Genomic DNA, 27151 nt, shown 5'->3' with positions numbered 1-27151 from the left:
AAAACTTAATCCCTTCTTGCTTTTTCATCACTTCCACCATATGAGGACATAGCATCTGTCTCCTCCAGAGGATGCAGCAACTGGATGCCATATTGGAAGCAGACAGCAGCAGCCCTCACCAGATGTTAAACCTGCCAGCATCTTGACCTTGGACTTCCCAGCCTCAAGCACTATGACAGATAAATTTATATTGTTTATAAATTACCTAATCTGTGGTATTCTGTTATAGCAGCGCAAGATATAAGGTTAGCCCTTGACTGGTATCTGGGAACTTGAATTTCAGGAGGATTTCCACAATTCTCTGATGAGAGTGGCTCACCATGCCCCGGCTATTTGTATAATGTGATTTATGCTGAATTCCTTCTGGGAATCTAGAATTTTGGCCCAAGCTGGCCTATGTGACCAGTTCCAAAACAAAACACAACGTAGTGCCTAGGGCACTAAGTCTCCATTGAGCTTACTGGGTAGACATTTCACATGTTTCAATGCTGAAAAAACAGTACATCATGAATGATTCTACAGGGAGTGGATTATTGGAAGCCTGTACCTGATTTCTTCTGGACTTCATCCCATGCACATTTTCCCTTTGCTCAACTGACTTGGTATCTTTTACTACAATAAATCATAGTGACTATGATAACATAGGGTGTCTTGAGTCCTCCTAGTGAATTACAAGAATGTGAAGGTGGTATTATCAATCCCCAGCATACCATGCACATTGAGGTAGCATGGACCTTAATGAGTAGCAAGCATCCAGTGAAGGTATACTGAAGAAAATCAATAGTGGAAAAAAGTCTCCCCAGTTAGATATAATTTATTGAGTAAAGCCCTTTAATCCAGCAGTTCACAACCTTTTTGGCACAGGGGACCAGCTTTGCAGAAGACAATATTTTTCCACAAGGTGAGGTGGGGGGATGGGGATGGTTTGGGGATGATTCAAGCACATTACATTTATCATTTTATTTTCACAAGGAGCGAGCAACTTAGATCCTTTCTTTAAAAAAAAAAAAAGAGTTTCGCTCTTGTTGCCCAGGCTGGAGTGCAATGGCGCAACCTCGGCTCACTGCAACTTCTATCTCCTGCGTTCAAGTGATTCTCCTGCCTCAGTCTCCCAAGTAGCTGGGATTACAGGCACCTGCCACCATGCCTGGCTAATTTTTGTATTTTTAGTACAGATGGGGTTTCACTATATTGGCCAGGCTGGTTTCCAACTCGTGACCTCAGGTGATCCGCCCACCTCAGCCTCCCAAAGTGCTGAGATTAAAGGCATGAGCCACTGCGCCTGGCTGCAACCTAGATCCTTCACATGCGTAGTTCACAATAGGGTTCATGCCACTGATCTGACAGAAGGCAGAACTCAGCTTTGCTCACTTGCCCACTGCTCACCTCTTGCTGTCTGGCCCTGTTCCTAACAGGGTCTGTGGCCTAGGGGTTAGGGACCCATGCTTTAATCAACTACACTGAAAATATCACCATCATGTCCAAGGAATATGGAATGTCATTCAAACCCACTCTTTGTCCTTACTGGTTCCACATCCAGTAAGTGGATTGCACTATATTCTGCTCTTATGCACACTTTTTCCTCAGTGAACCTTTTTAAACATACCTCCCTAACATATGTATACCACTTTGTTTTCATTTCCAGGATTCTCTCTGTGTTACAGATTAATGCTTTAAAAAATGTAGCAAGCAAGGCCGGGCACAGTGGATCATGCCTGTAATCCCAGCACTTTGAGAGGCCGAGGCGGGCAGATCACTTGAGGTCAGGAGCTCGAGACCAGCCTGGCCAACATGGTGAAACCTCGTCTGTACTAAAAATACAAAATTTAGGCCAGGCACGGTGGTTCACACCTGTAATCCCAGCACTTTGGGAGGCCGAGGGCGGATCACAAGGTCAAGAGATCGAGACCATCCTGGCCAACATGGTGAAACCCCGTCTCTACTGAAAATACAAAAATTAGCTGGGCGTGGTGGTGCACACCTGTAGTCCCAGCTACTCAGCAGGCTGAGGCAGGAGAATTGCTTGAACTTGGGAGGCAGAGGTTGCAGTGAGCTGAGATTGCGCCACTGCACTCCAGCCTGGCAACAGAGTGAGATTCCGTCTCGGGGAAAAAAAAAAAAAAAAAACTGAGTTGGACATAGTGGCACGCCCCTGTAATCCCAGCTACTCAGGAGGCTGAGGCAGGATAATCATTTGAATTCGCGAGGCGGAGGTTGCAGTGATTCAAGATTGCACCACTGCACTCCAGCCTGGGCAACAGAGAAAGACTCCATCTCAAAAAAAAAAAAGAAGTGTAGCAGACATTAATTGCAAAGATACAATTGTTCACACTCATCCATTTATCCACATATTCAGAGAATTTTTTTGTTTTTAAAATTGGCTTCCAGAATCTATTAATTATGATCTTATGTGCCATATAACAATATAGAACAATCATATTTTGAAGGGATTATCATATAGCACTTTTTAAAATTCTAATGTACATAATTTACTGCTTTGGTAATACTGATGTTCAATAAGAAATTAAAATGTAATTTATGGAATTATAAAATGGAAAAATACCACAAAATGCTCATTGCAAGAGAAAATTGCTAAAAAAAAAAAAGTATCCTTTACATATTATCTTATGCATGTACATACACACTCACTCATAAAAATGTATAGATTTCATTATGCTACAAAGGCAATAGTCTATGATCTTCCAAAGCCCATATTTTTTCTTTATCCTGTCATTACAGATACCTGCCGCCATTTTAATAGCTTCAGGTCAATACAGGAATGAAAATATCAAAAGTCAAATTATTATAGAGGAACACACACTTCCATTTAAAACAATTCATTGACATCACTGATATGTTACTTAGTCTTTTTGGTATTTTAATCTCATAATCATAAATTCCAATTATATAACTTCCAAATCAGAGATATACAGTGTAAATTCTGAAAAACACTCTTCCTTAAACCCATGTTTTACTGCCAGCAATAGGGAAAAGCATGGTAAATGCCAATCCTGCCCAAATAATAAATTTGATAAAATTATCAAATTTCCACAAGTTGTTTTTGGTATTCGCTTAATGGGTGTGGGGCAAAAATATGGTACAGCCCCTACCTCAGAAGTTTTTTTTTTTTTTTTTGAGACGGAGTCTTGCTCTGTCACCCAAGCTGGAGTGCAATGGCGCAGTCTCGGCTCACTGCAACTTCCGCCTCCCGGGTTCAAGCAATCCTCCTGCCTCAGCCTCCTGAGTAGCTGGGATTACAGGCGCCTGCCACCATGCCCAGCTAATTTTTGTATTTAGTAGAGATGGGGTTTCACCATGTTGGTCAGGCTGGTCTCTAAGTCCTGACCTCAGGTGATTCACCTGCCTTGGCCTCCTAAAGTGCTGGGGTTACAGGCATGAGCCACCACACCCAGCCAGAAGTTTTAATAAGAGAATGCTACAGTTATTAGACGGCAATCATGTCAAAGTCTGGATGGAAATGTGGAAAGTCAGAAATCAAATAAATTCAAGGGGGCTGATAAAAATTTGGCATTGGCAACTACTTCTGACACTTTAAAAGTGTTAGAGTAAACCCCTGCCTTAACATTAATGGATTAAAAACTCAATTGTGTGATATTCAGTAAACTCTTGTCAGGTTAATTAAATTTTTTTCAGTCTGCACTGTCAGAAAAATCACAAAATATACTTCAACTTGGCCGGGTGTGGTGGCTTACGCCTGTAATTTAACACTGGGAGGCCAAGGAGGTTGGATTGCTTGAGCTCAGGTGTTCAAGACCAGCCTGGGCAATGTGGTGAAACCCTTTCTCTACCAAACATACAAAAATTAGCTGGGTGTGGTGGCACGTGCCCGTGGTCCCAGCTACTCAGAGGGAGAGATGGGCAGATGGATGGAGCCTGGGAGGACGAGGCTGCAGTGAGCCATGATTATGCCACTGCACTCCAGCCTCGGTGACAGAGCGAGGTCCTGTCTCAAAAATAAAATTAAAAATAAAGGTACTTCAACTTATGTTTTATAAAACCTTTGGGAAACTAGACAGGCTCTCAATAAGAACCAAATTTGAGAGAAGAGACTACAGAGAGGACAGGTGTCAACTGTAAAAGAGTAATATCATATTAATATTGTAGGCTGCAGTATCCAGTGGTTTTCTGCATTTCAACAAATGTTCATTTCTGCAAATAATTTTATTTCGCAGGTTTCTTCCTTTGGATACAATGTTCAAATATTGTGCATTTACTCCTTTTGATTCAGTTAACAAACAAGTATTGAGCACACCTACAAGCACTAGTCAATGTTAAGGTTGTATAGATTCGGTAGCAAAGTTCCTGCCCCCATGGAGCTTACAGTCTAATGGACATCAATTCTGGCACCTTCATCAGTATACTTTTTTAAAGCCCAGGTCAAACTCATTTTCTAAGTCCTATTTCCTAGGTAACATGTCATAAATGTCAAAGTTTTGACAGAATGCTTTACTGTACCACTTAACAAGGGTTCTCAGCTGTGTGGTCACTGGACCACTGGGATATGCTGAGCTATTGCTTAAACACTGACTTAAATAAAACAAATATTTTAAATAAGAGAATGCTACTGTAATTAGAAGGCAATCATTTCAAAGTCTAGATGGAGGCCAGGGGCGGTGGCTCATGCCTGTAATCCCAGCACTTTGGGAGGCCGAGGTGGGTGGATCACATGAGGTCAGGAGTTTGAGACCAGCCTGGCCAGTATGGTGAAACTCCATCTCTACTAAAAATACAAAAATTAGCCAGGCGTGGTGGTGTGCACCTGTAATCCACTGAGGCAGGAGAATCACTTGAACCCGGGAAGTGGAGGTTACAGTGAGCTGAGATAGCACCACTGCATCCAGCATGGGCAACAGAGCGAGATTCTGTTTCAAAACAAAAAATAAAAAACAAAAAAAAGTCTAGGTGGAAATGTGGAGCGTTACAAATCAAATAAATTCAAAGAGGTTGATAAAGAAAATTTTTCCCTCCTATGAAATCTAATTACAAGCATTCAGGTTGTACATGAGTTCTGTTTTTTTTTTTTTAATCACCTTGTAGAACTTCCTCCCTCTGACAACTCTCTGATGTTCTTACTATTCTCATCATTTTCATAAAATGTACCAGCAGCATGAATTTTGTGATGACTTACAAGATTTGATCGCCAGCTGAACCTCTTACCACATATCTCACATTTGTAAGGTTTTTCCCCAGTGTGAACTCGCCTATGATACTGTAATTGTGAAGACCGACTGAAGACTTTACCACATACATCACATTTGTATGGTTTCTCTCCTGTGTGGACACTCTGATGAAGTTGGAGACTTGAGGCCTGACTGAAGTGCTTCCCACACTCCCCACATGTATAGGGTTTTTCTCCTGTGTGCACCCTCTGATGCATGTCAAGGTTCAAGCTCCACTTGAAGCCCTTTCCACACTCCCCACATTTGTATGGCTTTTCTCCAGTGTGGACTTTTTGATGGGCTTGAAGGTGTGCACTCCGACTGAAGCTCTTCCCACACTCTTCACATTTAAATGGTTTTTCCCCACTGTGAACTCTCTGATGGGTTAGAAGATGCGAGGCCTGACTGAAGACCTTCCCACACTCCTCACAATTATATGGTTTCTCCCCTGTGTGGATCCTACAATGAATTTTAAGATCTGCTCTACGACTAAATCCCTTTCCGCACTCTTCACATTTGTATGGTTTCTCACCGGTATGGATCAGCTGGTGAATCTGAAGTCGTGAGCTCTGATTGAAGCCCTGCCCACACTCTTCACACTTAAAAGGTTTCTGTACACTATGTGCTTTCAGATGGATTTTAAGATATGAACTCTGACGGAAGGCTTTACCACATACTTCACATTTATAGGGTTTTTCCCCTGTGTGGACTACCAGATGCACTTGATAATGAATTTTCATTCTGAAGCTCTTCCCACACTCATTGCATTTGTATGGCTTCTCTCCAGTGTGGACTCCCTGATGGGCCTGAAAACTTGAACTGTAAATGAAACCCTTACCACACACTTTACATACGTATGGTTTCTCTCCAGTGTGGATTCTCCGATGGGCCTGAAATTGTGAAGGCTGAATAAAGCACTTACCACATTCTTCACACTTGTAAGGTTTCTCTCCTGTGTGGACCCTTTGATGGATACGAAGGTTTGAGCTACAAGTGAAACACTTACCACAGTCCTCACATTTGTATGGTTTCTCTCCTGTGTGGACCATGCAATGATTATTAAGTGCTGATCTACGACGGAAGTTCTTACCACATGTATCACATTTGAATGGTTTCTCCCCAGTATGAATTCTCTGATGTTCCTGAAGATGGGAAGCATGTATGAAGGCCCTTCCACATTCCTCACAATTGTAAGGTTTCTCTCCTGAGTGTAATTTGCAATGTACAGTAAGTGTTGATCTACGACTGAAGCCTTTCCCACATTCCACACATTTGAATGGTTTCTCTACAGTGTGGACTCTCTGATGAGTTTGAAGATGTGAGCTCTGACTAAATTCCTTACCACACACGTCACACTTATAGCATTTCTCTCCCATGTGGACTCTTTGATGAATATGAAGGGCTGAGATGTAACAGAAGCTTTTTCCACACTCATCACATGTATGAGACTTCTCTCCTGAGTGTAACTGTTGATGAAGATCAAAGTTGAAGACATCAGTGAAGGATTTTTTGTACTCATCACATTGGTAAAATTTCTGTCCTGTGTGAGTTGTATATAGTCCTGCCCTAACCTGGCAGGACAAATCACCTTGTCTGGGGAACCGAGAAATACTTATCATAGAGTCTTCATACTTGATTAAATCACTTGCAATCTGTTTCCAGATTTGCCCCCAGTAAAGCTCTTCATGTCGTCCTGCTTCTGGAACAGTCTCCACCTCACTTTGGATCTTGTCTGCTGTAAGGACAGAGAATTCAGAGATGTGGAGGCTCTGTTAAAAGTTTTCAAGATGTCATACTTAGGCGAGAGCATGCGATTTTAACAAATCCAGAGAAGGTCCAGTTTGTGTAATGGTCTTTTCCACTGTGTATCATGATCTCTGATTTCCATGCCTAGATAAATCAAGAGGTGGTCCAATTGGCTGCTATCTACCAGGCATTAGACCATACCAAGTCTCCTATGTGAGACACAAGTTAGAAGTCAGAGTTAATTTTAAAAATTAACATGATACAAATTGTACTGCCATTTCCATCGAATTTTAAAGTCAGTGTAGAATAATAAATAGTAAATTATCTAAATATAAAAAGCATAGGCCAGGCATGGTCATGCCTGTATATCCCAGCATTCTGGGAGGCTGGGGCAGAAGGATAGTTTGAGGCCAGGGGTTTGAGACCAGTCTGGGCAACAAAGCAAGAATGTACCTCTATTAAAAATATTAAAAGTTAAAAAAAAATGTAGATAATATAAATCAACAAGAACTTCAAGGGAAAGTAAGAAAATAATCAAATATTTTGCAGTTTAGGTTCATGTTACATATTCAAATTATTAAATAACCTGAAATGTTTATATTTACATGTTCAAAATACAGTTGACCGTTGAACAACACAGGTTTGACCTGCATGTGTTCACTTATACATGGATTTTCTTCCATCTCTGCCATCCCTGAGACAGCAAGACCAACCCCTCCTCTTCCTCCTTATAATTTTCTTAATAACATTTTCTCTTCTCTTTATTGTAAGAATAAAGAATTCTTCCTTTATTGTAAGAATATAGTATACAATACATTATAACATACAAAATATGTGTTAATTGACTATGTTATCAGTAGGTCTTTCAGTCAAAGTAGGCCATGAGTAAAGTTTTAGAGGGGAGTCAAAAGTTATACTTGGATTTTTTACTGTGAGGGGAGTTGGTGTCCCTAACCCCCAAGTTGTTCAAGGATCAACCATATTCTTGAATATTCTGCATAACATATACACTTAATCTTATTTTTCTGTGTTGACAGACATTAAATGAGCTGACAACTATTATAAACTCTTGACCACTTCTAATATAACTTAGATTTAAAATGTTTAAACCCTTCTGAAAGGTTTATCCTTAATAATATTCCAAAATGTTTAATCTTGTATAAAGAGATATAAATATTTGGAAATTATTTTTTAAATGAACTCTTCCACAAAAGTTTAGCAGAAAGACGTACCTCTAAGGAAATTTTTACAGAGGAAAAACTTACTCCCCTCCTGCAGGAATAGTCATTTAAAAGCTGCCTCTTGGCAGGGTGCAGTGGCTCACATCTGTAATCCAAGCATGTTGGGAGGCTGAAGCCGGAGGATCACTTGAGCCCAGGAGTTCAAGACCAGCCTGGGCAACATAGCAAGACTCTGGCCCTACAAAAAAACTTTTAAAAAAATTGGCCAGATGTGGTGGCACGCACCCGTAGTTAACACTATTTGGGAGGCTGAGATGGAGGATCGCTTGAACTCAGGAGTTAGAAGCTGCAGTGAACCATGATTTTATCACTGCACTTCAGCCTGAGGGACACAGTGAGACTTTGTCTCAAAAAAAAAAAAAAAAAAAAAAGAAAAAGAGAAAAAAATCTACCTCCTCCTTTGTATCAGTAGACATTTGTTAAATGGTGTCTATATAACTCTGCCCTGAGTCATTTTATTGGAAAGTTACTTCAATATCCAGGTGACTGGAATGGTTAACATGACTTGCAGGCTGGGAGCAAGTACCTAACCACATACTGACTAAAATATTAGCAGATAAGCAGATGGTGAAACTTTAGCTTCTGTCAGCAAGTTTCCTACATGAGGACTAAAGGGAAAGAAAGTTGAACTGATAACATGTATTATTCTAAAAGCTGACAGTAATTTAGACCTCCAGAAAAAAAAAAAAGTGAAAAAGAAGTAGACTCCAATCTTTCACAATTGAGATGGAGACAGGGAGAAGAAAAAGATGTCACAGTGTAAACTTTGAAAGCCACCCCCACAGCAGGAGTTATATTCAGGGAGGAACTCTTCCCAGATAGCGAGATGGATGGTTCCTCACGTCTTGTGGGTCTCTGCTCAATGTCAGCTCACCAATGAGGGCTGCTTTATTACTCATTGAAAAATAATGAATCCTGTCTTCACCCAATTCACCTCTAGCAACTTGAATTTGTCTATGTTCTTCACAGCACTTTTAACCACTGGACACACTAAATTACTGGTTGTTTAATGTATGTCCTTCCCACCACAATGCAGCATCAATGAGGGAAGCATTTTCTAATTTTGACATAATACTCGTTTTACACTTTCCTACTTTATAACCATTGTCCAGAACTGTGCCTGTCACAGTGAATGCTCAATAAATGCATGTCAAATGAATAAATGAACCCCAACTTGACTTTTTTTGTGTGAGAATTTAAGCCAAGTCCTAGGAGAAAAGCATCTTTTCCAAATGTTATTTGAAATAGGAAAAGAACAGAAAATTGTAATTTTGCAGAGAAGCTGAAAAGTTGTACAAGAGACAGGTATATCCAGGGTGAGGCTAATAAGAAAATTTGAAGGTGGCAAGAATCACTTGGGATAAAAAGAAAGCAGGAAGCCCTATACACTGGTTCCTTCTGAAGCTCTCAGTGTAGGTAAGTTGGGCCTTTCACAACAGTTTTTCAAATTAAAAACTGTAGCCCTTTAGTGAGCTGTGAAATAAATTTAAAAGCTTGTAATAAGCATTCAGAATAAAAGAACCAGGATAGAAACTATCAGAGTACTACCACCAGCAGGAAAGGGGTCCTTCTGAAATGCTTACTAAAGCTATAATATCAATCTATACAGACATGAAATGTTTGTTTCATTGTTCTAATTTCAATGAAAAATGCGTTTCTTGCTATGGCTCATGCTCAAAAGAGCTCAAAAACTTTGGTTCTAGAAGTTACCTGGTCCTTAATTAAACAAACTGCTTCAAATGGAAAGACAATTTCCAACCGTGACACCTTGGGAAAATATTCATAGGAGAGTATGTAACTCTTGGCGCATATATATATATATATATATATATATGATGAATACATGATTAGATTTAACAAACTGACCCTTAAAAATTGTAGTTTTTTTGAGGAGGACAAGTCTCTATGATGATGTGACAATTTTGAGCAAGAAGTTTCTTCATTTTTCCCAGGTTATAATGTCAACTAGTTGAACATAAAAGCCAGGTCTTTATAAAAATAAAGGAAAAATTGTATGACATCTATATTCTTTAATATATGCTTAATGGCTACTACATTTGTAGAAAATAAAAGCACAGCATATTTTTGAACCAGAGAGTCAGGCAACATTCAGCTGTGTCACTTTTGCCACTCAAATCTTAAATCTTCCACCTCTGGCACAGGGGAGGCAAAACCTGGGGGCAGTGATACGGATGGGCACTTTGGAAGAAGCAAATGAGGTTCAGATGGGCAGTGTGCTGAAAGGAAAGCAGTTTGCAACCTAGTTACTATCTGACACCTTAGGAAATAGTTATCTTCTTGTGGGGGGAGCTATCTCAGAAGTAGACATCAGAATCTTCATTCAAAAATTATTCCTTCCCAGAAATGAATGTGTTCCATATGATGGAAGCCTCCAGGAAAGCCACTGGGAAGGCTTGTTACTCAAAGTGTGGTCACAACCACGATGCTTGTAAGTTTTCATGGTATGAGGTTCAAGTGCACACACAAACATTCACGTGAAGGGCACCTAAGGCAGAAGAAACTGGATGTGCAGCCATCAGAAAACAAATAACGTTCTGCAACCCCCTTCATTCATTTTGGTTTGTGTATGACCTGTCCTAGCTGCAAGACCCCTAGAGTGAGGTCACATCCATCCATTAATGCCTTCATTATGCCAACAGATATTTATATTAACAGATATCTGCCATGTAACAGGACTATTTAGGCACTGATGATAGAGTAATAAACAAACAAACAAAAAAATTCCTCCACTCTTGGAGATTATATTCCAGTGGGGAGAGAGAGGGGACAAGCAAGTAAACCAAAGTCTATGAGACACAAGAGAAGGTAGGGCAGAGAGTAAAGGATGGCATTTCCAGTAAGGATGTCAGAAAAGGCCACCACTGTGAAATTAAAACTGAGCAGAGACCAGGATGAAGTAAGAGAGGGGCCGAGAGGATTGTAGGTGAGTTTTTCCAGGCAAAGACAAGGGCAAATAAGGGCTTTGAGGCAGAAGTATCTGTAGTTGGCAGAATAATCAACCCCCAAAGAATCCACGTTCTAATTCTCATCCTAAGAATATGTCAGGTTATGACAAAGGGTAATTAAGGTTGCAGAGGGAATTAAGGTTGCAAATCAGCTGAACTAAAAATAGAAGGCAATTCTACATTATCCAAGTGGGCCCAGTGCAATTAGAGGGTCCTTATAAAGTGGAAAAAGGATGAAGAGAGAATAAAAGGGAAATGCAACTATAGAAGAATGATCAGAGAAGCACTGTTGCTGGCTGTGAAGAGGGCCACAAGCTATGAAATTTGGCAGCCCCTACACACTGATAAGGGAACGATACAGATTCTCCTTCCCTAGAGCCTCCGGGAAGAAACAGGGACGGGCTGACAGCTTGATTTCAGCGTAGTGAGACCCATGTTGGACTTCAAACAAAGAACTGAAAGACAATACATTTTTATCATTTAATCCACTCAGTTTGGGGTAATATGTTACAGCAGCAGTAAGAAATGCAGTGTCCAGGTCGGGCACAGTGGCTCATGCCTGTAATCCCAGCACTTTGGGAGGCTGAGGCAGGCGGGTCACTTGAGGTCAGGAGACCAGCCTGGCCAACATGGTGAAACCCTGTCTCTATAAAAAATACAAAAATCCGCCGGACGTGGTTACAGGCACCTGTAATCCCAGCTACTTGGGAGGCTGAGGCAGAAGAATCGCTTGAACCTGGGAGGCGGAGGTGGCAGTGAGCTGAGATTGCACCACTATACTCCAGCCTGGGCGACAGAGCGAGCAATGTCCTTACCAGGTCTGGGAAATAGCAGGGAGGATGATGTGGCTGGAAAAGATGGAGCAAGAGGTAGAATACAGGAGATGTAGTCAGAGACGCAGAGGAGGATGAACAGCAGACCACGCAGGACTCTATAAGCTCCTTTAAGAGACTTCAACTTTAAGAAAAATAAGAAGCCATTCAGAGTATTTTTTTTTTTTTTAAGATGGAGTGTCGCTCTGTTGCCCAGGCTGGAGTGTAGCGGTGCGATCTTGGCTCACTGCAACCTGCCTCTTGGGTTCAAGCGATTCTCCTGTCTAAGCTTCCTGAGTAGCTGGGACTACAGGCGCTGGCCACCACGCCTGGCTAATTTTTGTATTTTTAGTAGAGACGAGGTTTTGCCATGTTAGCCAGGCTGGTCTCAAACTCCTGATCCTCCTGCTTTGGCCCCCAAAGTGCTGGATTACAGGCATGAGCCACTGTGCCCAGCCCTGTACAAGGTCTTAAGTAGAGGAATGGCAATCTGACTTACATTTCCAAAGGATCACTTTAGCTATGATATGGAGAACGCCTGTAGGAGAACATACTTTATACTATTGAGGGTGGATGCAGTGCGCCCAGTACGAAGGCTGTTGCAATCATCCAGGACAGAGGTTTGGCAATTTGGACCCGATGGCAGCAAGAGCAGGGGAGAGAAGTACAACAGATGGACAATCACGTACAAGGACTCTTAGCTGCTTGGTTCTTACCTGATTTCCCTTTTCTTTGAGTTGCTGTCTTCATTATATCAAGCTTTTTTTCCTTTTCTAAAAGGAATACATCATGTTTGAAGGGGTGATGCCCTAGAACACGCAAAGTCACATATTTAAAACAAACACACTAAAGGTACAACTGAACTTACTGGCAATTTGAATTACTACTGTATACTGATCAATCAATCAAAAGTAGTGTTTTCAAACACTTTTAGAAGAACCTAATGAAGAAATATCAGTATTTCAAGATCCAGACACATAGACATAAATATGTGCTATAAAAACCTATTTCTGAAAGGAGTTAGTTCGCTTGCCTTAGGTAGACAGCAAGGGAAGGGTCTTTGGAGAGCCCCTGACCCATGGGTTAGTGTCTTATTTTTATATAACATAAAAAGCAGCCTGGAAAAAAAATTTAAGCTGCAGGCACCAATAAGGGAACTACCACAGGGTGTTGTGCCTGGAGACATGCCCACGGCTGCACAGATAGAAAAACCTCCAGCCCATTTGGATAAAAGCTTGTACATACCTCCAGCTCGCTCAGATAAAGGAGCAAGGCCTGGCATAAGAATGCCTTTGTCCTCTGTATAGTCAGCGGGCTCCCAGGAAAAGGTTTCTTCTCCTTTTGTGGGCATAGGTACAGTGGGCTCCAGTGGGTTCCAGTGGGCACTCTACTTTCTTTTTTTCAAACTGTAAGTCCGGTCTCTATATATCTTTACTTCAACCTGATTGGTCCTGGGCCAAGGTTCCGGGCCAAGCTAAGTCACACTTTCTCCAAAATAGCCCACAAACTAAGCACATTCCTTCCCCTTCCCAGTCCATAAAAACCCCAAACCCCTGCCTCATAGGGGGAATTCCATTTGGGTCCCCCTCTCTGCTGGCAAAAAGCTTTCTTCTTTTGCTTATTAAACCTTCACTCTAACCTCACATTTCTGTCTGCACTCATTAATCTTCTTAAAAATAAAACAAAAAACTCCAGGTGTTATCTCAAACAACAGAAAAACTGTTACATCTTGGTGCATTACTAAAATTACATTTCTAACCAATGTCTTTTTTTTTTGAGACAGTCTCACTCTGTCACCCAGGCTGGAGTGCAGTGGCGTGATCTAGGCTCACTACAACCTCTGCCTCCTGGATTCAAGCGATTCTCATGCCTCAGCCTCCCAAGTAGGTGGGATAAGAGGCATGCACCACCACACCTGGTTAATTTTTGTATTTTTTATTTTTTGGTAGAGATAGAGTTTCATCATGTTGGCCAGGCTGGTCTCGAACTCCCGACCTCAGGTGATCCACCTGCCTCAGCCTCCCAAGGTGCTGGGATTGCAGGCGTGAGCCACTGTGCCTGGCCCCCGTTTATTTTCATTAAATCTCCTCCCACAAGTTCTCACACCACTCATGCAATTTACCAGTTTTATTTGCTATGTATTCCATTAATTTTAGTGAACTCTGATATTTCTATCTCATTTTATTTCACTAAAAACTACTGATAGGAAAGTCAGGTCTACAAATGTAGGCGACTAATTCAAGACCTCCAAAGTGTTGAACCCCTGAAGACACAAAATCACTCCAAGAGACTGACATTGAGTGTTAGAAAGCTCATGTCCTCACCCACTGACAGCAGGTTCCTGAAGTTCTCCAGCATCACATCTTGGTACAGATTCCTCTGGACAGGGTCCAGCAGCCCCAGCTCCTCCTCAGTGAAGACCACAGCCACATCCTTGAAGGTCAGTCCCTCCTATAACATCAAACACACCTTACTTCAGCCTTTTTAACAAACTCTTGAAAAGAAACAGCACTGAGAAAGTGGAGAGTATGTAGGGGGAGCTGGTCCAGATTTTCAGAGACTTAATGTGTAGATTTCTCAGCCCTTCTCCTTCCATCTTACCAATGCCACACTTTGATTTTCCTTAGTGTCAGTAAAAGTACATCAGTAACAATAGCCTTCAATTCCTTTGTGGCTTCACTGAGTCTATTTGTAAGTAACCATCTAGAACTCTAAATGACGCATCCTGAGCCACACGGGTTTCACCTTTCGGTAAATATTACCAATTGCCCCAGAAACATTTAGCAAGTCAGAACCAACATACATGATAACACCCACCTTCCTCCTCTCTCACATAGGAACGCTGGATGCTATCCCTTTTCATTAAAGTCTGCCAAACTAACAAGCTTTTGGTAACATATCTAAAACTGCTATGTAGTTTTCCTTCTGTACACCCAGGGCACACAGCACCAGCATTACCTGCAGCATTTAGTGTCATGATCTGGAGCCATCATGCCTCAGTGCACACAAGGGTACCCTTCAAAGTTGTGTGATCTTGGATAAGTTCACCTAGTTTCATCTTGGTATGATAGTTCTTACATGACAGAGTTCTTTCAAACGTTGAAAAAGAAACTACATATAGCATTTGGAATAGTGTATGGCGCAGACTAAGTACCTAAGAAACATTAGCTATTATCTATTATTATTACCATCATCATCTATTTCACCTCATTTCATGACTGTATATTATTCGAGGGAACTGAAATCTGCATCTACCTGTTCTAATTAATGAATATTTAATTTTCAATATTGTTTTCATTATAACCAATCCAGCAAAGAACATCATTTCATGTAGATCTTACTTTCTTTCCTTTTTTTTTTCTTTTTTTTGAGACAGAGCTTCACTCTTGTTGCCCAGGCTGGAGTGCAATGGCACAATCTTGGCTCACTGCAACCTCTGCCTCCTGGGTTCAAATTATTCTCCTGCCTCAGCCTCCCGAGTAGCTGGGATTATAGGCATGCGCCACCATGCTCAGCTAATTTTGTATTTTTAGTAAAGATGGGATTTCACCATGTTGGTCAGGCTGGTCACGAACTCCTGATCTCAGGTGATCCGCCTGCCTTGGCCTCCCAAAGTTCTGGGATTACAGGCATGAGTCACCCGACTGTCAGATCTTACCTTCGTGTGTATTTAAAATGATTGCAGGCCATGCACAGTCGCTCACACCTGTAATCCCAGCACTTTGGGAGGCCAAGGATGGAGGATTGCTTGAGCCCAGGAGTTCAAGACCAGCCTGGGCAACATGGTGAGACCCTGTCTCTACAAAAAGTACAAAAAATTAGCTGCATGTGGTGGCGTGTGCCTGTGGTCCCAGGTACTCAGGAGGCTGAGGCGAGAGAATTGCTTGAGCCCAGGTAATCAAGGTTGTGGTGAGCGATGATCACACCACTGTACTCTAGTCTGGGTTACAGAGTGAGACCCCGTCCCAAAAAAATAAATTAAACTAAATAACTGCAAATAAAAAATAAAACATCAGAAAAAAAGCACATTAAAAATTATGACCACATAATGGCAGATTTTCTTCCTTTTTTCCTGCCTCCCTAATCTTTCAAGAGAATACAAGCACTTGGCTGGGTGCAGTGGCTCATGCCTGTAATCCCAGCACTTTGGGAGGCCGAGGCAGGTGGATCATGAGGTCAGGAGTTCAAGACCAGCCTGGCCAATATGGTGAAACCCCATCTCTACTAAAAATACAAAAATTAGCCAGGCATGGTGGTGCGTGCCTGTAGTCCCAGCTACTCAGGAGGCTGAGGCAGAAGAATCACTTGAACCCGGGAGGCATAGGTTGCAGTGAGCCGTGATCGTACCACTGCACTCCAGCCTGGGCAACAGAGCCAGACTCTGTCTCAAAAAAAAAAAAAAAAAAAAAAAAAAAGAGAGAGAGAGAGAATGCAAGCACCTTGCTTCTCTATATGATGACCAAAAGCAGGTTATAAATTTTCCAATGGTTTTGATAATCTAATTAGGAAGAACAATTCTATTATTCTTACTTACTTGATTATAAATGAATACCAATGTTTATTATGAATTTCATCTTTTTTGGCACCTGTGTGGTAAATATTTTTGCCCCAACTTGTTTTTCTCTTAATACTCTGTAAGGTATCTTTTGTCACACCCACTAAAACACTTACCAAAAACCTCACCCCCTGATCCCCATGCTTCAGGGTACTCCTCAGAGATGTTCTTGTGTTGTAATGAGGGTGCAGAGGTTGAATGAACCACTTATTAGTAGAATTGACAGTAGAATGATGGCTGTAAACTAGTTTAACCACTGTGGAAGACAGTGTGGCGATTCCTCAGGGATCTAGAACTAGAAATACCATTTGACCCAGCCATCTCATTACTGGGTATATACCCGAGAAACCACTATCTGAGGGGGATATCCGTAGAGTAATTTAAAGACTTTATATAACCACTGTGCTAATCACTGTCCTTGTGCACCTGGAGTGCTGAGCATCTTAGTGCATCTGAGGTGCCACCACATTAGGAACACAAGAGGTCCCCCACTACCTGTGGACGTTATCACCCAACAGGGCACTCCAGACACCCACACCACGGGTCATTCATTGAGAAATATTTGTTTCCTTTTGTCTCTCACTTTCACTTAAATGGAATGGCTAATGTTTCTGACCCCTGACTTTCTATGCCAATCTGAGAAGGTTTCTCATATTTCACCTGTTTAAGAGGAAGAAGAGACCACAAACCTCCTCATTCTGCTGTTCTGAATAAATACAGTAACAGAACACAAGTGACTGGCAAATCTTCCGTGTCACTGGACATTTTAAATGAAGGTTATTACCTACTACTTTGGTCAAACTGGTTACTTTATAAAGGCAATAAGACACTAGTAAATAAAATACATACAAAGTATGATCGAGGCACAAAGCACACAGAATCTAGCTCTTCCTATATGAAAACTCCAACAATATTATTTGTGTGAAGCAGCATTATAGCCTGTTGTGCTGTGCCATGTTAGAGTATTCTATCTACAGCCAGTCACTGTGGCTCATGCCTGTAATCCCGGCACTTTGGGAGGCCAAGGCAGGTGGATCATCTGAGGTTAGGAGTTCGAGACTAGCCTGACTAACATGGAGGAGTCCCATCTCTACTAAAAATACAAAATTAGCTGGGCATGGTGGCACATGCCTGTAATCCCAGCTTCTCGGGAGGCTGAGGCAGGAGAATTGCTTGAACCCAGAAGGCAGAGGTTGTGGTGACAAAAAAATCAGCAGAAAGTTTTCAGAATTGATTTTTGAGGAAACGGTTATGTAGGAAAATTGTCATTGCAGTGTTATGTAAAACAATAAAATTCTTAAATCACCTAAATGTCCATGAATGGGAAGTAGTCAAAAATAAAAAGGCACATTAATTAAATGGGTATATGGCATAACCTCAAAAAATGAACATTATTTAGTACTTAAGGAAAAAATAACAAAAATGAGATATATATCATGAATACCAATATAGTTATGAATGCACATTAGGAAAAGACTATAAGAAAATAAAAACAGCTAATACGTAAGCAGAGAAGTAAAGTAGGAGAACTGTTCATTCACACCAATTTTTCTACTCCATAAAATAAATACAGTTGTCGCTCAATACGCTTGGGGAATTGGTTCAAGGACCCCTGAGGATACCATAATTTGTGGATGCTCAAGTCCCTTATCTAAAATAGTGTTTGTACTACAGTCAGCCCTCCACATCCATGGGTTCCACATCCACAGACTCAATCAACCGCAAAAGGAAAATATGTATGGTCAGCTTTACATAGACTCAGGTTTCAATCTGTGGTTGGTTGAATCCACAAATGCAAAATTCAAAGACGCAAAACCCCTAGATGTGAAACCCACAGATACAGAAGGTCAACTGAAATAATAAAATAAACAACATCTAAAAACAAAGTCAACTCAAAAGGCAGAAGGATGCACTTAGCATAAACAGGTTCTCAAATGCCCGTTGTTCTTGAGTCTTCCTCAGGAAACATGAGAATAGTGAGATGGAATTTTAACAGCAAGAGTGGCAAGCCTTATTCACCTTGAATGTGGTCATTTTTCCTCCTGTTTCTGGGAATTTGCAGAGTCCTGAGTTATGCCATTTGAGAGAAGGCAGAATCGTGCCTGGAACACTATGGAAGACACAAAAAGAGACATGAAAGCGTGGCCAGGGATGTCCCCACCAACACAGATGTGTACTGTGAATTAGCACACGAATGGTCACGGTGGCATTATTCATAATAATCCCAAACTGCACACAACCAAAATGCCCTCCTATGGAAAAATGGATAGACAAATCCTGGCATATCCATACAATGGAATCTTATTTGGAAATTAAGAGGAATGAAGTACTGACTCATGCTACAACATGCATGAACCTTGGAAACACTATGCTGAGTGAAAGAAGCCAGGCACACCAAACCACAGATTGTATGATTTCATGTATATGAAACGTTCAGAACAGACAAATGTTTATAAAGAAAGTAGGTTACTTGTTGATGGGGATTTAGGATAAGAATGGGGATTAACTGTAAATGGGCAAGAGGAGTCCAATTGGGGGATGAAAATGATCTAAACTAAATGATGATGATGATTACTACACTCAGCAAAGTTCCTAAAGATTACTGAATTGTACACTTGAAATGGGTGAATTCTGATACATAAAATACACCTCAATAAAGTTGGAAAAAAATTATTAATCTACATGTCATTTAATTTAACAAGACTGCGTTCTGAGTCCATATTGATAGAATATTTACTTTTGAATGAATGAATAAGCAAACAGGGGAACAGGGGATGCTGGTCTTTACAGTATGTTGCCCACTAACAAGTATATCTACTCATAAAAATTAATTTTATTTTATTTTAATTTATTTGAGACAGAGTTTTGCTCTTGTTGCCCAGGCTGGAGAGCAGTGGTGCAATCTTGGCTCACTGCAACCTTCTCCTCCTGGGTTCAAGCGATTCTCATGCCTCAGCCACCAGAGTAGCTGGGATTACAGGCGCGCACTACCACATGTGGCTAATTTTTGTATCTTTAGTAGAGACGGGTTTTCTTTTTTTTTTTTTTTTCTTTTTCTGAGACAGAGTCTTGCGCTGTTGCCCAGGCTGGGGTGCAATGGCGCAATCTCGGCTCACTGCAAGCTCCGCCTCCCGGGTTAACACCATTCTCTTGCCTCAGCCTCCCAAGTAGCTGGGACTACAGGTGCCCGCCAACACGCCCGGCTAATTTTTTGTATTTTTAGTAGAGACGGGGTTTCACCATGTTAGCCAGGATGGTCTTGATCTCCTGACCTCGTGATCCGCCCGCCTCGGCCTCCCAAAGTGCTGGGATTACAGGCGTGAGCCACCGCGCCCGGCCAGAGACGAGTTTTTGTCATGCTGGCCAGGCGGGTCTCAAACTCCTGGCCTCAAGTGATCCACAGGCCTTGGCCTCCCAAAGTGCTGGGATTACTCGGGCTGTGACCCTGAGTGCCTCAGTTCCATAACTCAGGACTCAGGCATGACCCACCATGCCCTGCCCTCTTATACTATTTTTGCAACTTTTCTATAGACTTAAAATTATATAATTACTGTGTTAAAGTTTTTTTAAAAAATCAGGAAATAGTCATAGGAGAAATAATAATGAGAAGAATAAGAATGAGCATGATAGAATATGGCAGGTCACTAGTTTATTATCTCTTTATCTGGAAATTTCCATGGATAAGCAGATAAATAGAAAAACATTGAGAAATGTATAATAAAAATTTTGTAAAACATTTATAAGTAATATAAACATGGAACCACTAAAACAAAATGCATTAGAAATTTAACCATTACTATCTTTACATCCTGATTTCATAGGTAATTACAATTTTTGTATCTTCGTATTTCTGTAATTTCTGAATGCTTCACAGTGATACGGTTCTATTAGAATGTGAAATATTTGTAATAAATGAAACAAAATAGTTGACAGTTTTTAAAAACTGAGAAAACTCCAAGGCAATTAGCCTTGCTCTTAAGGTCCTTTAATCAAGTTCTAACTTACTTTCCCCACCTGAGTACAGCTAGTTCCTCTGCCTCAATGAGAATATATCCAAGAGATGATCAACTCGGGCTCTGACCCTGAATGCCTAGGTTCCAACCCAAGTTTCACCTCTTACTACTTGGATGACCAGTACCTCTCCACAGAGTCACGTTGCGGCTTAAACGTATCTAATTGTATAAATCCCCTAGAATTGAAGTTAGCAATTAAGGCTTAATTATTATAAATGCCCATGCCCTATTACACATGCTACAAAGATACAGTCTCTGTAAAAGAAAAATGACAAGTCACACTCACGTGGAGCTTTGCTTTCAGTAGCCAAGAAGTCAGTCCGCGCAGTCCTTTTTCAGGCTGGGGAAGGAGAAAGCTGTGAAACATCCTGACTGGGTCGCTGTCCCTGAGAAAAGTTAAATGCTCCCCTCCCTTCGTGGAAGTGGACGCAACCCTCGCCTGCCTAAAAAGAGGTCAGAAGGCGTCCGGGATCGTCCAGCGTCCTGCAGGGATCAGAGATAAGGGCTGAGGCCCCTGCTGCTGGAGCTCTGACCCCACCGGGGGACCTAACAGGTTTCGTGGGAAAGTAACAAGAAACCACCACTCACCAAGTGACAGGGACTGTTTGTGTTGTGTAACCTATTCCAGTTACCAAAACGATTCTACAAAGATGGTCCTAACGTCCCCATTTTAAAGAACAGCAAGGAGAGGCCCAGGGAGATTAACACGCCAACCTTGCACTGTAAAAAAGTGACTGCGCGCCTGGAGTGCAGGGAGGCGGAGTGGGCGAGCTCAGAGCCCCGGAAACCCTCAAACCAGGCGAGACGCGACCCAACCAAGTCCCAATGCCCCCCGCCTCCCGCCGCGGGACACGAGGGGAGCCCCAGCCCAAGAAGGCTCCGCTGACACAACAAAAGCCGCCGCCCTCGCCCCACCAAACCTCTGCTCTCCCACGAGGCTTCTTTTCCCATAACCGGACCACCAGGTCCCAGCGAGCCCCAATCTTAAGTCCCTGACATTAGGAGGGGCCCGCGAGTCGCGGAACTGGAAGAAACTACCGTGGAATGTGCCGTGACAATCGCCCCCTCTTCCCTGGAGCGGAAGTGCCCGCGACTCCACTGATTGGCGGGACTACATTTCCCAGAATTCCCCGGATCCCCCTGCGTGGGTCAAATGGACCACGACTCCACTGAGCGTTTGGATTACACTCAGAATGCTGAGGGAAAAACGTTCAGAATCTCACCCTTCAGGGAAAAGCGATGGGACTCCGCGGTGCTCCTTGCCTACGATTCCCGCACTGCCCATGGGGAACGAATCCTATATCGCTGAGCGCTTGGTAGGGAATGTGGACTGTGACCCTGAGAGTCGTCCTTCCCTCTGCCTGAGTCCTTGAGCGAAAATATTGAATAGACAGCAATTCCTGAAGTCTAAACGCCTCCCAGGACTACGGAGGATTATTGGAAAGAGAACAAGCGAGGAGATACAATCTTCAAGGACTAAATGGGGAATGACTTTTTAGGGGTCAGTAGATGATTGATGATTGATTACTATAAACTGATAATATGAGGCCAAAACTAAAAGTTGGAAGAGTGAGCAAGTACAATGGTTTGGGAGAGGCAATGAAGAACAAAGAAGGTGCCAGCCCCTACTCCAGACGCTGTGGTACCACTGGTTTGGCAGGAAAAACAATCATCATTTGAGAGGGCCAGTGGGGAAGCCCTGTCCTCATGGAAAAGCTATCTTCTTTCGTTTACACTTTTCATGGTATTATGTCTACTGAAGAGGTAAAAACACCAAATTTCAGAGAAGCTCTTAAATTGCCCAATACTTCAAAGCAAGTATAACTGGTGAAGCGCTTGGCATTGATGTCAGACACCCAATGCCTATGATTTATTTAATGCAGTAGCATTAAGGAGGATCCTATACGTGAAGGAACATATTTTATTTTCTTCCTTTATATTTTTTGGTTAAAATATCGTCATTATAGTTAGCAATTTGGAATCTGGCTTACATTGGTTGATACAAATAAATAATAGAATAAAGCAAAATCAGAAAAAAACCCATCTAAAATCTTTCTTCAAGATAACCAGGGGCTGGGTGCGGTGGCTCACGCCTGTAATCCCAGCACTTTGGGAAGGCCAAGGCGGGCGGACCATGAGGTCAAGAGTTCGAGACCAGCCAGGAGAACATGGTGAAAACCCATATCTACTAAGAATACAAAAATTAGCCGGGCATGGTGGTGCGTGCCTGTAATTCCAGCTACTCGGGAGACTGAGGTAGGAGAATCGCTTGAACCTGAGAGGCAGAGGTTGCAGTGAGCCGAGATCATGCCACTGCACTCCAGCCTGGGCGACAGAGCAAGACTCTGTCACGGAAAAAAAAAAAAAAAAAAAGATAACCAGATTTTTTTCTCCCCATAAACATACATTGGCCTATTGATATGGTTTAGATCTGTGTCCCCACCCAAATCTCATGTTGAAATGTAATCCCCAGTGTTGGAGTTGGGGCCTGGTGGGAGGCGATTGGATCACCGGGGAGGTTTCTAATGGTTTAGCACCATCCCTCTAGTGCTGTTCTCCTGATAGAGTTCTCATGAGATCTGCTTGTTTAAAATTGTGTAGCATCTCACTCCTCGCTCTTTTCCTCCTACTCTGGCCATGTGAAGTGCTGGCTCCCTAGTCGCCTTGCAGCATGGTTGTAAGTTTCCTGAGGCCTCCCCAGAAGCTGAGCTGATGCTGCCATGTTTCCTTTACAGGCTGCAGGACTCTGTGTGAGCCAATGAAACCTCTTTATAAATTACCCAGACTCACGTATTTCTTTATAGCAATGGGGGAATGGACTAATACACTTATCAATCTATATTTTTGTTTTTTAAAAAATGAAGTCTCACATTCTAGATTCATTTTATAAACTAAAAAAATACCTTTTCACAATTGTGTTTACATAAAAACAAGGTTACTATGCTAACCACACAATGCCACACATCCCCCTCTTTGAAAATTGACTGACTGCTATTTCTATACTAGTTACAGCTGTATTGTTGCTCTAGTCGGCCCTTCCAAATGACAAAATTTATTGAGATGCTCCATCTCGGCCAGGCGCAGTGGCTCACGCTTGTAAACCCAGTACTTTGGGATGCCAAGGCCAGCGGATTACTTGAGGCCAGGAGTTTGAGACCAGCCTGGCCAACATAGTGAAACACTGTCTCCACTAAAAATACAAAAAATCAGCTGGGCGTGGCATGGTGATACATGCCTGTAATCCCAGCTACTCAGGAGGCTGAGGTACAAGAATCACTTGAACCTGGGAGGCCGAGATCACGCCACTGCACTCCAATCTGGGTGACAGAACGAGACACTGTCTCAGAAAAAAAAAAAAAAAGTGGAAGGGAGGGAGGAAGGAAGGGAAATGCACTCCAGCTGAGTGACAGAGCGAGACTCTGTCTCAGAAAAAAAAACAAAAAAAAAAAGGAAGAAAAGAAAGAAATGTAAATCAGTCAATATCTTCTAAAAAATTTAAAATTATTTTTTCCAGGGTTATATTTTTAACATTTTGATCTTCAGCGATTCCAACATTCAAGATTATGTCTTTCTGGATTATGATCAATTTCTGTCCTTAGTGCATGATCTCAGGATATACCAGATACTAGTTTTTATCCATTACTGGTGCTGCTAAACTTGAACAGTTGATTAAGGGGTTTCTCTCCAGAATTCTGCACTCTAAAATTATTTTTCCCCTAAAAAGTTACTACTATCTGGTGAAAAACTGAGATACTCCAACTCATTCTATGTTGATTTTTTGGCATTATGCTCTAAGAAAAAGCTTTCCATCTATATTATTTATTTGTTTATACCAGTGTGGATTTGTGAATTCTTGTTATATTAATGAGTTCACATCTACTACTGTTATTATGTATTTTGATTCTCTGGTTGTCTCAGATTTTGCCAGTAAAATCCTCTTCAAGCAGTCCCCTCTTGCCTTCTGGCTCCTCCTGTTCATCATGATATGAGCTCTTTGTGCACTGGTTTACTTTCTGATACTGTGTGTTCCAAGTTCATTAGGTATTTTTCAAGTTCATTGGGTATTTTCCCTACCCTAGCCATGAGATCAGATATTTCTCCTAGGACTTCTGGTTCCTATTTGTGGAAAATGTAGTTAGAAACAAAGAACTGAGTGCTAGGTATGATCGCTGCTACCTTAGTGTTTTTTATTCTTGACCCTCTCAGCTGACAAAACTAGCAAATATATACTTTTTTTTTTTTGAGACGGAGTTTCCCTCTTGTTGCCCAGGCTGGAGTGCAATGACGTGATCTCGGCTCACTGCAACCTCTGCCTCCCAGGTTCAAGAGATTCTCCTGCCTTAGCCTCCCAAGTAGCTGGGATTATAGGCATGCACCACCACGCCCGAATAATTTTATATTTTTAGTAGAGCCGGGGTTTCACCATGTTGGCCAGGCTGGTCTTGAACTCCTGACCTCAAGTGATCTGCCCACCTCGGCCCAGCCTTTTTGTTTTTTGTTTTTTTGGTAGAGACAGAGTCTCACCATGTTGCTCAGGCTGGTCTCAAACTTCTAGACTTAAGTGATCCTCTCGCCTCAGGCTTTTTTCACTTTTTATACTGCTATTGATGTCTAGTTATTATGATCTAGACTGTAGTTGGAAAATATATTTTTATGGTGTCAAACTTTTACATTTATCAAGACTTGTTTTGTGGCCTAATATATGGTCTGTCTTGAAGAATGTTTCATGTGCAGTTGAGAAAATGTGTATTCTGTTGGGGGGCGGAGAGTTATGTCAATGTCTCTCAGGTTGAATTGGTGTATAATGTTCTTCAAATTATCTGTTTCCTTATTTATCTTTTGTCTGGGTGTCCTATGCATTTGAAAGAAAGGTAGGGAGTCTCTTACTATTATTGGAGAGCTGTATATTTCTCCCTTCAATTCTGTCAGTATTTACATTTTATATTTTGGAACTCTGATATTTGGTGCACATATGTTTATAACTGTTTCATCTTAGTGAAATGAACCTTTTAGCAATATTTAATGTCTCGTTTAACAGTTTTTGACTTAAAATCTAATTTATCTGTTAGTATAGCTACCTGTGCTGTTATTTTTTTTACATGGGATATCTTTTTCCATCATTTGCCTTTCACCTATGCATGTCATTAATTCTAATGTGCAGAGCATATAATTACATATTGTCTTTCAATCATTTTGACAAACTACATCTTTTTATTGGGGAGTTTCATTAATTTCACTTAAACTAATTATACATAGGTAAGGACTACCATTTTAAATTTGTTTTTTATATGTCCTATTGTGTTTTTGCCTCTCATTTCCTTCATTACAATTGTCCTTTGTGTTGAGTTCTTTTTTTGTAGTGATTAATTTTGAATCACTTTTTTTTTTTTTTGAGATGTTGTCTCACTATGTCGCCCAGACTGGAGTGCAGTGGCACAATCTCAGCTTACTACAAGATCTCCACCTCCCGGGTTCAAGCAATTCTCCTGCCTCAACCTCCCGAGTAGCTGGGACTACAGGCACGTGCCACCATCCCCAACTAATTTTTTTTGTATTTTTAGCAGAGATGGGATTTCACCATGTTGGCCAGGATGGTCTCAATCTCTTGACCTCATGATCTACCCGCCTTGGCCTCCCAAAGTGCTGGGATTACGGGCATGAGCCACCCTGCCTTGCCTTGAATCACTTCTTATTTTCTTTTGTGCATGTTTCATTGATATTTTCTTTATAGTCACCAAAAGTATATGTAACATCCTAAAGTTATAACAGTCTTTTAAATTGATACCAACTTAACTTCAATCAGATATAAAAACCCTACTCCTTCACAGCTCTTTCCTTCCCGCACTGTTACTGATCTCATAGTACATCTTTACATATCGTGTACTTATTTACATAGATTGGTAGTCATTTTTATGCATTTGTCTTTTACGTTGTATGGAAAATAAAAACTGGGATTACAAACTAAAATTACTATCATAATGTTGTTTGTATTGCTTCATGCAATTGCCTTTAGTATAGATCTTTATATTTTCATATGATTTCAAGTTATTGTCTAAAATCCTTTCATTTCAACTTGAAGGATTGATTCCCTTTATCAATTTTTTTTTTTGAGATGGAGTCTCACTGTGTTGCCCAGGCTGGAGTGCAGTGGCACAATCTCGGCTCAGTGCAACCTCCACCTCCCAGGTTCAAGCAATTCTCCTGCCTCAGCCTCCTGTGTAGCTGGGATTACAGGCGCCCACGACCACGCCCGGCTAATTTTTATATTTTTAGTAAAGACAGGGTTTCACCATGTTGGCCATGCTGGTCTCAAACTCCTGGCCTCAAATGATCTGCCTGCCTCAGCCTCCCAACCTTTTCAATTCTTGAATAACTTGTCTACTGGCAATTCTCTCAGCTTTTGTTTTTCTGAAAAGTTATTAATTGATCTCTCATTTTGGAAGTATAGTTTTGCTGAATATAGAATCCTCAATATACCAGGTTTTTTTCCAGCACTTTAATACATCATCTGGCCTTGGAGGTTTGCTGAGAAATCCACTGATGATCTTTTTTTTTTTTTTTTTTTCTTTTTTGAGACAGTCTCCCTCTGTCACCCAGGCTGGAGTGCAGTGGCATGATCTCGGCTCACTGCAATCTCT

At 41.5% G+C, this 27151-nt stretch overlaps 1 protein-coding gene across 10 annotated transcripts, besides 4 other annotated features; it reads right to left on the bottom strand.

Moving 5' to 3' along the window:
- Nucleotides 1–2853: 2853 nt before the first annotated feature.
- Nucleotides 2854–21613, bottom strand: ZNF234 (zinc finger protein 234). 10 transcript variants are annotated; one of them, XM_006722974.4, is made up of 6 exons: nucleotides 21102–21613; nucleotides 20800–20853; nucleotides 18520–18610; nucleotides 14270–14396; nucleotides 12662–12754; nucleotides 2854–6915 (listed from the first exon to the last, which is right to left on the bottom strand). In XM_006722974.4, exons 3-6 carry the CDS (start codon nucleotides 18532–18534, stop codon nucleotides 5048–5050), a joined length of 2103 nt encoding a protein of 700 aa, XP_006723037.1. In that variant the 5' UTR covers nucleotides 18535–18610; nucleotides 20800–20853; nucleotides 21102–21613; the 3' UTR covers nucleotides 2854–5047. The 10 variants fall into 10 exon arrangements, with proteins under 10 accessions (XP_006723037.1, XP_016881638.1, NP_006621.1 ...); XM_017026149.2 differs by having other exon boundaries at nucleotides 20800–20996; nucleotides 21434–21613; NM_006630.3 differs by having other exon boundaries at nucleotides 21434–21613.
- Nucleotides 20841–21431: an enhancer, noted in NCBI's record as "H3K27ac hESC enhancer chr19:44645889-44646479 (GRCh37/hg19 assembly coordinates)". NCBI's record gives its function as "activates a minimal SCP1, AML or CMV promoter by ChIP-STARR-seq in primed H9 embryonic stem cells {active_cell/tissue: H9 hESC(primed)}" and the evidence as "EXISTENCE:reporter gene assay evidence [ECO:0000049][PMID:30033119]".
- Nucleotides 20841–21585: a biological region, named in NCBI's record as "H3K27ac hESC enhancer GRCh37_chr19:44645889-44646479".
- Nucleotides 21126–21175: an enhancer, noted in NCBI's record as "active region_14755". NCBI's record gives its function as "activates an Ori minimal core promoter by ATAC-STARR-seq in GM12878 lymphoblastoid cells {active_cell/tissue: GM12878}" and the evidence as "EXISTENCE:reporter gene assay evidence [ECO:0000049][PMID:35858748]".
- Nucleotides 21186–21585: an enhancer, noted in NCBI's record as "active region_14754". NCBI's record gives its function as "activates an Ori minimal core promoter by ATAC-STARR-seq in GM12878 lymphoblastoid cells {active_cell/tissue: GM12878}" and the evidence as "EXISTENCE:reporter gene assay evidence [ECO:0000049][PMID:35858748]".

Source organism: Homo sapiens, chromosome 19 (assembly GCF_000001405.40).
Source record: "Homo sapiens chromosome 19, GRCh38.p14 Primary Assembly".
NCBI classification, from domain to species: domain Eukaryota; kingdom Metazoa; phylum Chordata; class Mammalia; order Primates; family Hominidae; genus Homo; species Homo sapiens.
The sequence above is the reverse complement of the archived record's forward strand: the minus strand, read 5'-3'. Positions and strand labels throughout refer to the sequence as shown.